The following is a 12,463-nucleotide window of genomic DNA, read 5'->3' as shown; positions in this document are numbered from 1 at the left end:
CACACTGCTTTGAATGCGTCCCAGAGATTCTGGTATATTGTGTCTTTGTTCTCGTTGGTTTCAAAGAACGTCTTTATTTCTGCCTTCATTTCGTTATGTACCCGGTAGTCACTCAGGAGCAGGTTGTTCAGTTTCCATGTAGTTGAGCGGCTTTGAGTGAGATTCTTAATCCTGAGTTCTAGTTTGATTGCACTGTGGTCTGAGAGATAGTTTGTTATAATTTCTGTTCTTTTACATTTGCTGAGGAGAGCTTTACTTCCAACTATGTGGTCAATTTTGGAATAGGTGTGGTGTGGTGCTGAAAAAAATGTATATTCTGTTGATTTGGGGTGGAGAGTTCTGTAGATGTCTATTAGGTCTGCTTGGTGCAGAGCTGAGTTCAATTCCTGGGTATCCTTGTTGACTTTCTGTCTCGTTGATCTGTCTAATGTTGACAGTGGGGTGTTAAAGTCTCCCATTATTAATGTGTGGGAGTCTAAGTCTCTTTGTAGGTCACTCAGGACTTGCTTCATGAATCTTGGTGCTCCTGTATTGGGTGCATATATATTTAGGATAGTTAGCTCTTCTTGTTGAATTGATCCCTTTACCATTATGTAATGGCCTTCTTTGTCTCTTTTGATCTTTGTTGGTTTAAAGTCTGTTTTATCAGAGACTAGGATTGCAACCCCTGCCTTTTTTGTTTTCCATTTGCTTGGTAGATCTTCCTCCATCCTTTTATTTTGAGCCTATGTGTGTCTCTGCACATGAGATGGGTTTCCTGAATACAGCACACTGATGGGTCTTGACTCTTTATCCAATTTGCCAGTCTGTGTCTTTTAATTGGAGAATTTAGTCCATTTACATTTAAAGTTAATATTGTTATGTGTGAATTTGATCCTGTCATTATGATGTCAGCTGGTGATTTTGCTCATTAGTTGATGCAGTTTCTTCCTAGTCTCGATGGTCTTTACATTTTGGCATGATTTTGCAGCGGCTGGTACCAGTTGTTCCTTTCCATGTTTAGCGCTTCCTTCAGGAGCTCTTTTAGGGCAGGCCTGGTGGTGACAAAATCTCTCAGCATTTGCTTGTCTGTAAAGTATTTTATTTCTCCTTCACTTATGAAGCTTAGTTTGGCTGGATATGAAATTCTGGGTTGAAAATTCTTTTCTTTAAGAATGTTGAATATTGGCCCCCACTCTCTTCTGGCTTGTAGGGTTTCTGCCGAGAGATCCGCTGTTAGTCTGATGGGCTTCCCTTTGAGGGTAACCCGACCTTTCTCTCTGGCTGCCCTTAACATTTTTTCCTTCATTTCAACTTTGGTGAATCTGACAATTATGTGTCTTGGAGTTGCTCTTCTTGAGGAGTATCTTTGTGGCATTCTCTGTATTTCCTGAATCTGAACGTTGGCCTGCCTTGCTAGATTGGGGAAGTTCTCCTGGATAATATCCTGCAGAGTGTTTTCCAACTTGGTTCCATTCTCCCCATCACTTTCAGGTACACCAATCAGACGTAGATTTGGTCTTTTCACATAGTCCCATATTTCTTGGAGGCTTTGCTCATTTCTTTTTATTCTTTTTTCTCTAAACTTCCCTTCTCGCTTCATTTCATTCATTTCATCTTCCATTGCTGATACCCTTTCTTCTAGTTGATCGCATCGGCTCCTGAGGCTTCTGCATTCTTCACGTAGTTCTCAAGCCTTGGTTTTCAGCTCCATCAGCTCCTTTAAGCACTTCTCTGTATTGGTTATTCTAGTTATACATTCTTCTAAATTTTTTTCAAAGTTTTCAACTTCTTTGCCTTTGGTTTGAATGTCCTCCCGTAGCTCAGAGTAATTTGATCGTCTGAAGCCTTCTTCTCTCAGCTCGTCAAAGTCATTCTCCATCCAGCTTTGTTCCATTGCTGGTGAGGAACTGCGTTCCTTTGGAGGAGGAGAGGCGCTCTGCGTTTTAGAGTTTCCAGTTTTTCTGTTCTGTTTTTTCCCCATCTTTGCGGTTTTATCTACTTTTGGTCTTTGATGATGGTGATGTACAGATGGGTTTTCGGTGTGGATGTCCTTTCTGTTTGTTAGTTTTTCTTCTAACAGACAGGACCCTCAGCTGCAGGTCTGTTGGAATACCCTGCCGTGTGAGGTGTCAGTGTGCCCCTGCTGGGGGGTGCCTCCCAGTTAGGCTGCTCGGGGGTCAGGGGTCAGGGACCCACTTGAGGAGGCAGTCTGCCGGTTCTCAGATCTCCAGCTGCGTGCTGGGAGACCCACTGCTCTCTTCAAAGCTGTCAGACTGCTTTTTTTTTTTTTTTTTTTTTTGAGACAGAGTCCCGCTCTGTCATCCAAGCTGGAGTACAGTGGCGTAATCTCGGCTCACTGCAACCTGCGCCTCCCACGTTCAAGCGATACTCCTGCCTCAGCCTCCCAAGTAACTGGGATTACAGGTGCGTGCTACCACACCTGGCTAATTTTTGTATTTTTCATAGAAATTGGGTTTCCCATGTTGCCCAGGCTGGTCTCAAACTCCTGACTTCAAATGATCTGACCTCCTCGGCTTCCCAAAGCGCTGGGATTACAGGCGTGAAGCACGACGCCTGGCCGGGGAGAACATCTTCAACTTGATAAACAGTATCTTCAAAAAACCTACAGCAAACGTCATACTTAACAGTGGGAAACTAGAAGCTTTCCCACTAAGAGCAGAAATAAGCCAAGGATATCCCCACTCACCACTCTTTCCAACACCGGACTGGAAGTCCTAGCTAATGAAATAAGGCAAGAAATAAAAAGAAAAATAAAACTGTCTTTGTTTGCAGATGACATGATCATCCAAGAAGAAAATCAAAAAACTGAAACCAGGCAGTGATTACAGCAAGACTGCAGGATACAAAAGTCAATCACTTTCCTATATACCAGCAATGAACAAGTGGAATTTGAGATTAAAAACACAATACCATTTACATTAGCACCCCTCAGAATGAAACACTTAGGTATAAATCTTAAAAAAAATTAGAATATCTATATGAGAAAAATTAAAGAAGTGATTAAAGAAGTCAGAGCACTAAAGAAATGGAGAGATATTCCATGTTCATAGACAGGGAGATTCAATATAGTCAAGGTGTCAGTTCTTCCCAACTTCATCTACAGACTCAATGCAATCCCAATCTAAATCCAGCAAGTTATTTTGCAGATATCAACAAACTGATTCTAAAGTTTACATGGGGAAGCAAAAGACCCAGAATGGTCAAAAAAATATTAAAAGAGAAGAACAAAGTTAACGGGCTGACACTATACGACTTCAATACTTATAATAAAGCTACAATAAATAAGACAGTGTGGTATCAATGAAAGAAGAGAGAAACAGACCAATGGAACAGAACAGAGAGCCCAGAATTCGACCCTGATAAATACAGTGAATTGATCTTTGACAAAGGAGCAAAGGCAATACAATGGAGCAAGGGGTCTTTTCAACAAATGATGTTGGAATAACTGGATATCCACATACAAAAAAGCGCCTCTAGACAAAGACCACAGACCCTTCACAAAAATTATCTGAAATGAATCATAGGCCTAAATGTAAAATGCAAACCTATAAAGCTCCTAGAAGATAACAGGAAAAAATCTAGATTATGTTGGGTAGGATGATGACTTTTTAGATATAATACCAAAGGCACAATCTATGAAAATAAGAATTGATAAGCTAAGCTTTATTAAAATTAAAATTTTCCTCTCCATGAAAGGCACTGTCAAGAGAATGAAAAGACAAGCCACAGATTGAGAAAAAATATTTACAAAAGAAATATCCTATAAGGATAAATATTTGTAAATTGAATATTCACAGAAGACATATCTGATAAAGGATAAATATTTGCAAGTTGAATATTTGCAAAAGACATATCTGATAAAGGACTAGTATCCAAAATATAAAAAGAACTCTTAAAACACAGTAAGAAAACAATCCAATTTTTTAAAATGGGCCAAAGACCTTAACAGATACCTCACCAAAGATGATATACAGATAGTAAATAAGCATATGAAAAAATGTTCCATATCATATGTCATCAGGTAAATGCAAATTAAAATGAGGTACCTCTACATACCTATTAGAATGGCCAAAATCCAAAACAATTACAACACCAAATATTAGCAAGAATGGGGAGCCACAGGAACTCTCGTTCATTGCTGGTGGGAATGCAAAATGATCCAGCCACTTTGCAAGACAGTTTGGCAGCTTCTTAACAAACTAAACATACTCTTATTAAGTCCAGCAATTGCATTTCTTGGTATTTGCACAAAAGAGCTGAAAACTTATATACATACAAAACCTGCTATAAACACAGATGTTTGGCCAGGCATGGTGGCTCACACCTGTAATCCCAGCACTTTGGGAGGCTGATGTGGGCGGATTACCTGAGGTCAGGAGTTTGAGACCAGCCTGGCCAACATGCCAAAACCCCATCTCTACTACAAATACAAAAATTAGCCAGGTGTGGTGGCACGCACCTGTAATCCCAGCTACTCGGAAGGCTGAGGCAGGAGAATCGCTTGAACCCGTGAGTCAGAGGTTGCAGTGAGCCGAGATCACACCACTGCACTCCAGCCTGGGCAACAGAGCAAAACTCCATCTCAAAAAATAAAATACATAAAAAATAAGAAAACATAGATGTTTATAGCAGCTTTATTCATAACTGCCTAAACTTGGAAACAATCAAGATATCCTTCAGTAAGTGAATAAATAAACTGTGGTATCTCCAGACTATAGAACATTATTCAGTGCTAATACAAAATGAGCTATTAAGCCATGAAAAGAGAAACGTTAAATGCATACTACTAAGTCAAAGAAGCCAATCAGAAAAGGCTACACACTGTATTATTCCAAATATATGACATTCTAAAAAAGGTAAAACTATGGAGGCAGTAAAAAGATCAGTGGTTGACAGGAGTTAGGGAAGAGAGACGGATGAATAGCCAGAGCACAGAGGATTTTTAGGGCACTAAAAATTACCATTACTGGCCGGGCGCGGTGGCTCACACCTGTAATCCCAGCACTTTGGGAGGCCAAGACAGGCAGATCACGAGGTCAGGAGATCGAGACCATCCTAGCTAACATGGTAAAACCCCATCTCTACTAAAAAAAAAAAAAATACAAAAAAAAATTAGCCGGGTGTGGTGGCTGGTGTCTGTAGTCCCAGCTACTCGGGAGGCTGAGGCAGGAGAATGGCATGAGCCCGGGAGGCAGAGCTTGCAGTGAGCCAAGATTGTGCCACTGTGCTCCAGTCTGGGCAACAGAGCAAGACTCCATCTCAAAAAAAAAAAATTACTGTTACTGAGTATACACCCAAAGGACTATAAATCATTCTACTATAAAGACACATGCACACGTATGTTTATTGCAGCACTTTTTACAATAGCAAAGACTTGGAACCAACCCAAATGTCCATCAGTGATAGACTGGATAAAGAAAACGTGGCACCTACACACCATGGAATACAATGAGCCATAAAAAAGGATGAGTTCACGTCCTTTGCAGGGACATGGATGAAGCTGGAAACCATCATTCTCAGCAAACCATCACAAGAACAGAAAACCAAACGCCACATGTTCTTACTTATAAGTGGGAGTTGAATAAGGAGAACACATGGACACACCGGGACCTGTTGAGGGGTGGGGGGCTAGGGGAGGGATAGCATTAGGAGAAATAACTAATGTAGGTGACGGGTGGATGGATGCAGCAAACCACTATGGCACATGTATACCTATGTAACAAAACTGCACGTTCTGCACATGTACCCCAGAACTTAAAGTATACTAATAATTTTTTTACAAAAAAAGACAAAATGTTGGGAGAAAAGAACTGTCAAGCTAGGATTCCATGCCCAGCTAAGCAATCATAAAGAATTAAGGCAAAATAAAAACATTTTAAAACCTACAATGACTATGTTCCACTAACACATTCTTAGTAAACAACTGATATATCATAGAATGTACTTCAGAAAGAAGAGCCCAAAGAAGGAAGCAAGACAGGTTGGTGACCACAGAAATTGATAAAATATATTATCAAATACAGCCAGTTACAGATTATAAATAAATTATGATTAAAAGTGATTATGATTATGATGAAAAGAAAAGTGGCAACATGGATGAACCTTGAAAACATTATGCTAAGTGAAAGAAGCCAGGAACAAAACCACACATTATATAATTCCATTTACATAAAATGTTCAGAATAGACAAATCTAAAGAGACGGAAAGTAGATTAATGGCTGCCTAGGACTGGGGCAACAAAGAAGAGAGTGGGAGTAGGCTAGTACTGTTGATGAGTACAGGATTTCTTTTAAGTGGGACAAAAGTGTTATAAAATTAGATTGTGGCAATGGTTGCACAACTCTTAACTAAAAAAATTGACTTGTACACTTTAAATAGGTGAATTGTACAGTATGTGTATTATATCTTAATAAAGTCATTTTAAAAAGTGGAACTAGAAAGGAAAAGGGGATGTTCAAATATACTAAGATCCTTATAAATTTTGATAGAAATTTTTGTAACTATTCATGAATGTTAAAAACTTAGAAATAACCATTAGGAGAACAAAAACACCATCTATAGCTCCTTCTCTCTATACACACACACACACACACACACACACACACACACACACACACACACTTTCTCTCATCTACTAAAAGAGAGAGTCTATGAGACTAGGTCAAAAAAGCTTATTGAGAAGCCAGAACAGAAAAAGAAACAAAATCATAAAAATAAAATAAAAAATATTCTGTATGATACTGTAATGGTAGACACATGTCATTATAAATTTGCCCAAACCCAGAGAATATTAGAGTGAACCCTAGTGCCAACAGGAGACTGTGGGTGATAATGATGTGCCATGAACAACAGTTATAATCCAACAATGAACTTAGGTTCATCAGTTGTAACAAATGCACCACTCTAGTGGTGGATGTTGATAATGAGTGAGCCTATGCATGCGGGGGCAGAGATATATGGAATATCTCTGTACCATCCTCTCAATTTTACTGTGAACCTAAAACTGCTCTAATCAAATAAAGCCTTTATTTAGAAAAAAAAAAAAGAGAATGTAAACTACCTCATCATTGTTTATAACGACTACATAGTAAAATCATATTTTGAATATATTCAGTTAAATAAAATATATTTTTTAAATTAATTTCACCTATTTCTTTTTATTTTTTTAAATATGGCTACAAGAACTTAAAATGACATATTTGGCTCACATTTGAGGCTTGCACTATACTTCTATTGGACAGGGCTAAGCTAAACAATCAAAGAAATACCACTGTATTAGCCACACCTCTGGGTTCCCAAACATTTTCAAAATGTGAACAGAAGAAGGGAGGAGGGCAAATGCCAGCAGAAGCATTCTGAGGACATGTGTTAAGTACAACAGCAGCAATAGCAGCAGCTAGTATGTGGTTCTAAGTAAGTAACAAGCATAAACAATGACTTTCCAGAAAAGGAGATGCTGCAGTTGCAGCTTCTTTTTTCTCTCCATCCAGGAGTGTCCCAAAGACCCGTTCCTGGATGTGGCTCTCCTGCTTACCTTTGATAAGCTCCGGCCTGTATGTTTTACGCAGCTGCTCCAGGAAGCTGTTGTAGAAGCCCTCTGCCTGCTCCGTGGGCATTGCTAGGTGGAAATCAGGCTTGTTTCCCTTCAGGACACACTGGAGGGTAAACTGGCTGACACACAGAATCTCGTACTGTTTGTCCATCACACTCTTCGACCAGTGCTTCCCACTCTCATCCTCAAATACACGCAGGTTTAGAATCTTTCGGACCCTAAGGGGAAAAAGAGCAGTGAGAGCTACCTGAGAGATCACAAGCCCCCCAACACACTCCATACCCCAAAAATGTCACCAGCTTCCGGTCAAATAAGGACATAATGATGACTCCATCCCTGACAGGAGGCATGACCTCAGGCAAGTCACTTATCCACCCTGTGCTTCAGTGTCCTCAGCTGCGATACAGAATAATAACAGTTCTACCTCACACGGTTGTTTTGAGATTGCTTCTTTTTTGCCAGTCGCTCCAGTTCATAGCAGCTACTGGTGAGAACTGGGGCTAAGATGACAACCACCTATTCTCTGCTCCTTTAGGTCGGGGATATGTCAAAACATGGGTCCAATTGTAATTTTTCATGAACGAATTCATCATGTTAGGATAAATGACATCCATTTTTAAACCCCTTCTTGGAGCTACTCAAAATGAACAATTCGGCTGAGAACGGTGGCTCATGCCTGAAATCCCAGTACTTTGGGAGGCCACAGTGGGTGGATCACCTGAGTTCAGGAGTTCAAGACCAGCCTAGCCAACATAGAGAAACCCCATCTCTACTACTAAAACTACAAAAGTTAGCCAGGCATGGTGGCGGGCGCCTTTAATCCCAGCTACTCAGGAGGCTTAGGCACAAAAATCGCTTGAACCAGGGAGGCAGAGATTGCAGTAAGCTAAGATTGCACCACTGCACTCCAGCCTGGGTGACAGAGGGAGACTCTGTCTCAAAAGAAAAAAAAAAGAAAGAACAATTCAGCAAATACACTGAGAGAAAAATCATGGTTATTGCAAATATGCAAAAAGATCTGGAGAAAGACACCTTGAAAACTATGTCACAAGCTCCTTAAGCCCCAGAGGGGCTTTCCCTATACATGTGAAGAAGGATAGTCACCATGGCAAGAAAGTTGACCAGGTGACATCTATAGGGTCAGATTTGAGAAGCACAGCAGAGAACCACCAGCATGAAAGCTGAAATCTCACCATTTGAGAGCCACCCTTCTGGATGATGTTAAGTAGATGACAGTTTCAAAGACTCTATAAATACTAATTAACTGACTCTTAATATGGGCACCCTCAGGGACAGGTGCTACTCATTACCCCCTCTCCACAGCCAAGATTTGTCTTATGTTGAATCACATCTCTTAAGCACCAGGCTAAGTATTAGCTCTGTAGTATGTCAGAGCCATAAAGACATTCAAACCCACAGCCTCAGTTTTTAGCCATTACACCACTCTACCACTTCTTTGAGTATCCAGAGGACAGCTACTAAAATACCACCATCACTGAAATAGTATTGAATGATAGTTATCCATCATCAACACCTTAGCAGGAATTCAGTTTCAAGTCTGATTTTCAATCTAACACAAAAGAATCAGTTGGGCAGGGTTATACCCAAGCTCTGAGCACCAAGGGGCAGAATAAATGGATCCAGCATCTAAAGTAAATGTGCCCCGTGGTAATGGAGGGGAGGAGGTGCACAGAGGGCACATTCTGATTTTATGTCTGGAATGAATGGGAGCTATAAAGTGAACAATCATTAAGCAGGATTTTAGGGCCATATTTCATCTGTGCTGCCTTGGCTAAGACACCTAAACCTTTCTATAGTCGAGTTTGCCCATCTATAAACTCAGAGAGCCAGGCAGGCAGCAGCAATGGCAACCCCTGCTCCTCAACCCCCGCCACCACCTTAGTAAAAAGATCACTGGCTTCAAGGTCAGGGAGCCCAGACTCTAACTGGGGTTCAGGCTTTTTGCTAAGTGTGTGTGCATGATCTGGGGCAAGCAATTTAACCTCTCTGAGTTCTAGATCCCTATGTGCACAGCGAGCTAGTAGACATTCTAAAAATACATAGTGCCCAGATAACTGCCCAATTTAAAAAAGAGAAACCAAACATAAGAAAAGAGGCTTGGTTTTTGCGTTAAGAGAACAAGAGGCATGCTCTGAGGCCACAGTAGCAAACAGACAGGGGACAGGCGGTGCTCCTGCTCAAAGGCTGACTTAGCGTTGAGGTCTCCTAAATCATTCTTCCTCGGTCTTCTCTGAAACACGGAGATAACCATACTACATCCAATGGGACAATGGTTAAAAGTGACAGGGGCTCACCTCACAGGCACAAAGTACTATGGAAGTTCCCAGCATGACCACCACCACATAGCCCACTCAAACAGCAATGACAGAAATGCATCTTACATGTGTTCCAGTTCCTTCTGCGTATCCTCCAGGGAAATACCCAGCAACACACATATGCCCCTTCCAATGGCACTAATCTGCTCTCCTCCAACTAGAAAGGAACCAAAAGGGAGAGAAGAACTCAGAACCAAACAAGGTCATAAAGCACTTTTAAGTAACCATAGGAGTATTTTAAACATCATACATACTTCTTATAACTTCTTTGGTTAAAGTCAGTACGTATTCGAAAATGAAAAGAGTTACATAAATGCAGTGAGATGATAATAATTCCCATCCATTCTGATTTTATCTCTGGAATGAATGGGAGCTGTAAAGTGAACAACCATTAAGCAGGATCTTAGGGCCATATTTCATCTATGTTACCTTGGGTAAGACACCCAAAATTTTCTATGGTCAAGTTTGCCCATCTATAAAAACAGAACTGTGTTTTCCTCCCCCAGAGAAGCCAGCTCAGCTATATTAATTCTCAGAAAAGAGATTCCTGCCTTTTGCAGAATATCAAAAAATATGGTAACACAGTATACAGGAAGCACAAAGTGGAAAATGTTCATATCATAAATGATTTTCCTACTTACTATGAGGACAAATACATAATACATAAAAATCACAATTTATGTATTAAGCTTCAACTCACCAAACTGCTATTATTTCCCAGTTTAGTTTTGTGGTTACATTCTAAGCCAATGATCTCCAAATATTTTTCAATCATGCATCTTGTCCATTTGAAAAAAAAAAGGCTCTAAGCACACACTCCTAACATTTGTATATGTATTTATAACCAAATGTATGCCCTACTACCACTAGACGATACCTCAAATGGTAGCAAGATGCATCATTATGGGCCGGGCATGGTGGTTTATGCCTGTAATCCCAGCACTTTGGGAGGCTGAGGCAGGCAGTCATATGACGTCAGGAGTTCGAGACCAGCTTGGCCAACATGGCGAAATCCCATCTCTAATAAAAATACAAAAATTAGCCGGGCATGGTGGCGGGCGCCTGTAATCCCAGCTACTCAGGAGGCTGAGGCAGGAGAATCGCTTGAACCCAGAAGGTGGAGATTGCAGTGATCCAAGATCACACCATTGCACTCCAGCCTTCCAGCCTGGGTGACAAGAGTGACTCTCCATCTCAAAAAAAAAAAAAAAAGATGCATCTTTATGATGGAGAATCCCTGTTTTTTTTTTCATTTGTTTTTCTTTTTAAGAGGCAGGATCTCTCTATGTTGTCCAAGCTGGAGTGCAGTGACTATTCACAGGTGCAATTCCACTACTAATCAGCACAGGAGTTCTGACCTGCTCTATGTCCAACCTAGGTTGGTCCATCCCTCCTGATGGTCCTCTGGTCCTGGGAACTCACCATATTGATGCAGAACTTTGGTATGACAGCAGGTCAGCATAGTGTACTATAGCCCAGAACCCCTGGGCTCAAGCAATCCTCCCTGCCTCAGCTTCCAGAGTAGCTGGGACTATGGATGCACGCCATCATACCCAGCTAAATCTGTATTTCAAGTGGTGCTTTTGAAAATTTTCTATTTTTTGCCAATTATTTGCCAATCTTATTAGATTATGTTATTTTACTACTTCATCTTGTACTGACCTAATGTGCTAATCGGAATAGAAGGGTCACCTCAGCCATTTTCTTGCTGTTTGCTTGCTTCTGCAGGGTAATAGCTATAAATATAACTAACACAGTAACATAGACTATGTCATGTTACAATACACTGCTAAAGAAAGGGTGAGAAACTTCCCTCTTTCTTCAGTTGCAATGGCAAGAGACCACCTGCTATTCAGATCCCAGCAGAGCACATCAATCCATTCCTGAAATATCAGTAATGCTTAATTTCTTTATTTTTAGGCTAAAATTTTTTAAATCTTTTCTTCTGTGCTGCTTTTCTTATAATGAACTATGTGTGTGTGACTTATTGTCCTTTGAGCCACTGCCTCAAAAGCTGAAATAGAAATAATCTATCCTGACATAGGCAGTAAACAATTGGGGGTTGGTTTGCTCATTTGCATTGCTTCAGAAAAAGCCTTTGGCTTTATTTGTTCTTTGAATAAATCAACATTACTTTCTTACAATATTGATATACTTTCTAAATTTTTCCCAAAGTATGTTTTAAAAAATAAAGGTCATGAAGTTATATCTATCATCAAAGTAAGGATTATATATTTTAGAAAATATGAGAAACATGAAAAAAAGAACAAAGGTAAGTACTTTAATATTTTAATGATTTCCTTTTAATATTGTATCTATTCATACATTTTAATTCATATTTGTTTTCAACTACTATAATAACATTGCATATAAATTTTTATAATAATATTGCATAAGAATTTTTTCATGTCATAACCTTTTCCTAAACACCTTTTAATAGATTCAGCTCATCAAGTAGACTGATTAACCATTCCATCTTGCTGGACATATGGCTTCTTTCAAAATTTTCACCTCAGTAAATAACAGTGTAGTGAAAATCTTCGTACACTAAAGCCTTTTCTACAGTTAGGA

At 40.0% G+C, this 12,463-nt stretch overlaps 1 protein-coding gene and 1 pseudogene across 2 annotated transcripts in view; both read right to left on the bottom strand.

Moving 5' to 3' along the window:
* DTD1 (D-aminoacyl-tRNA deacylase 1) overlaps positions 1–12,463 on the bottom strand; it is a 178,591-nt gene that overhangs the window by 162,865 nt on the left and 3,263 nt on the right. For both annotated transcript variants that reach the window (NM_080820.6, NM_001318043.2), the window contains exons 2-3: positions 9,959–10,049; positions 7,539–7,774 (exon numbers count right to left, since the gene is read on the bottom strand). In NM_080820.6, coding sequence (NP_543010.3) covers positions 7,539–7,774; positions 9,959–10,049 — 327 coding nt within the window. The remainder of the gene's footprint in view (positions 1–7,538; positions 7,775–9,958; positions 10,050–12,463) is intronic.
* Positions 11,161–11,450, bottom strand: RN7SL638P (RNA, 7SL, cytoplasmic 638, pseudogene; annotated as a pseudogene).

Source organism: Homo sapiens, chromosome 20 (genome assembly GCF_000001405.40).
Source record: "Homo sapiens chromosome 20, GRCh38.p14 Primary Assembly".
In the NCBI taxonomy this organism is placed as follows: Eukaryota; Metazoa; Chordata; class Mammalia; order Primates; family Hominidae; genus Homo; species Homo sapiens.
Note: the sequence above shows the minus strand (reverse complement) of the source record. Positions and strands in the feature narration are given on the sequence as shown.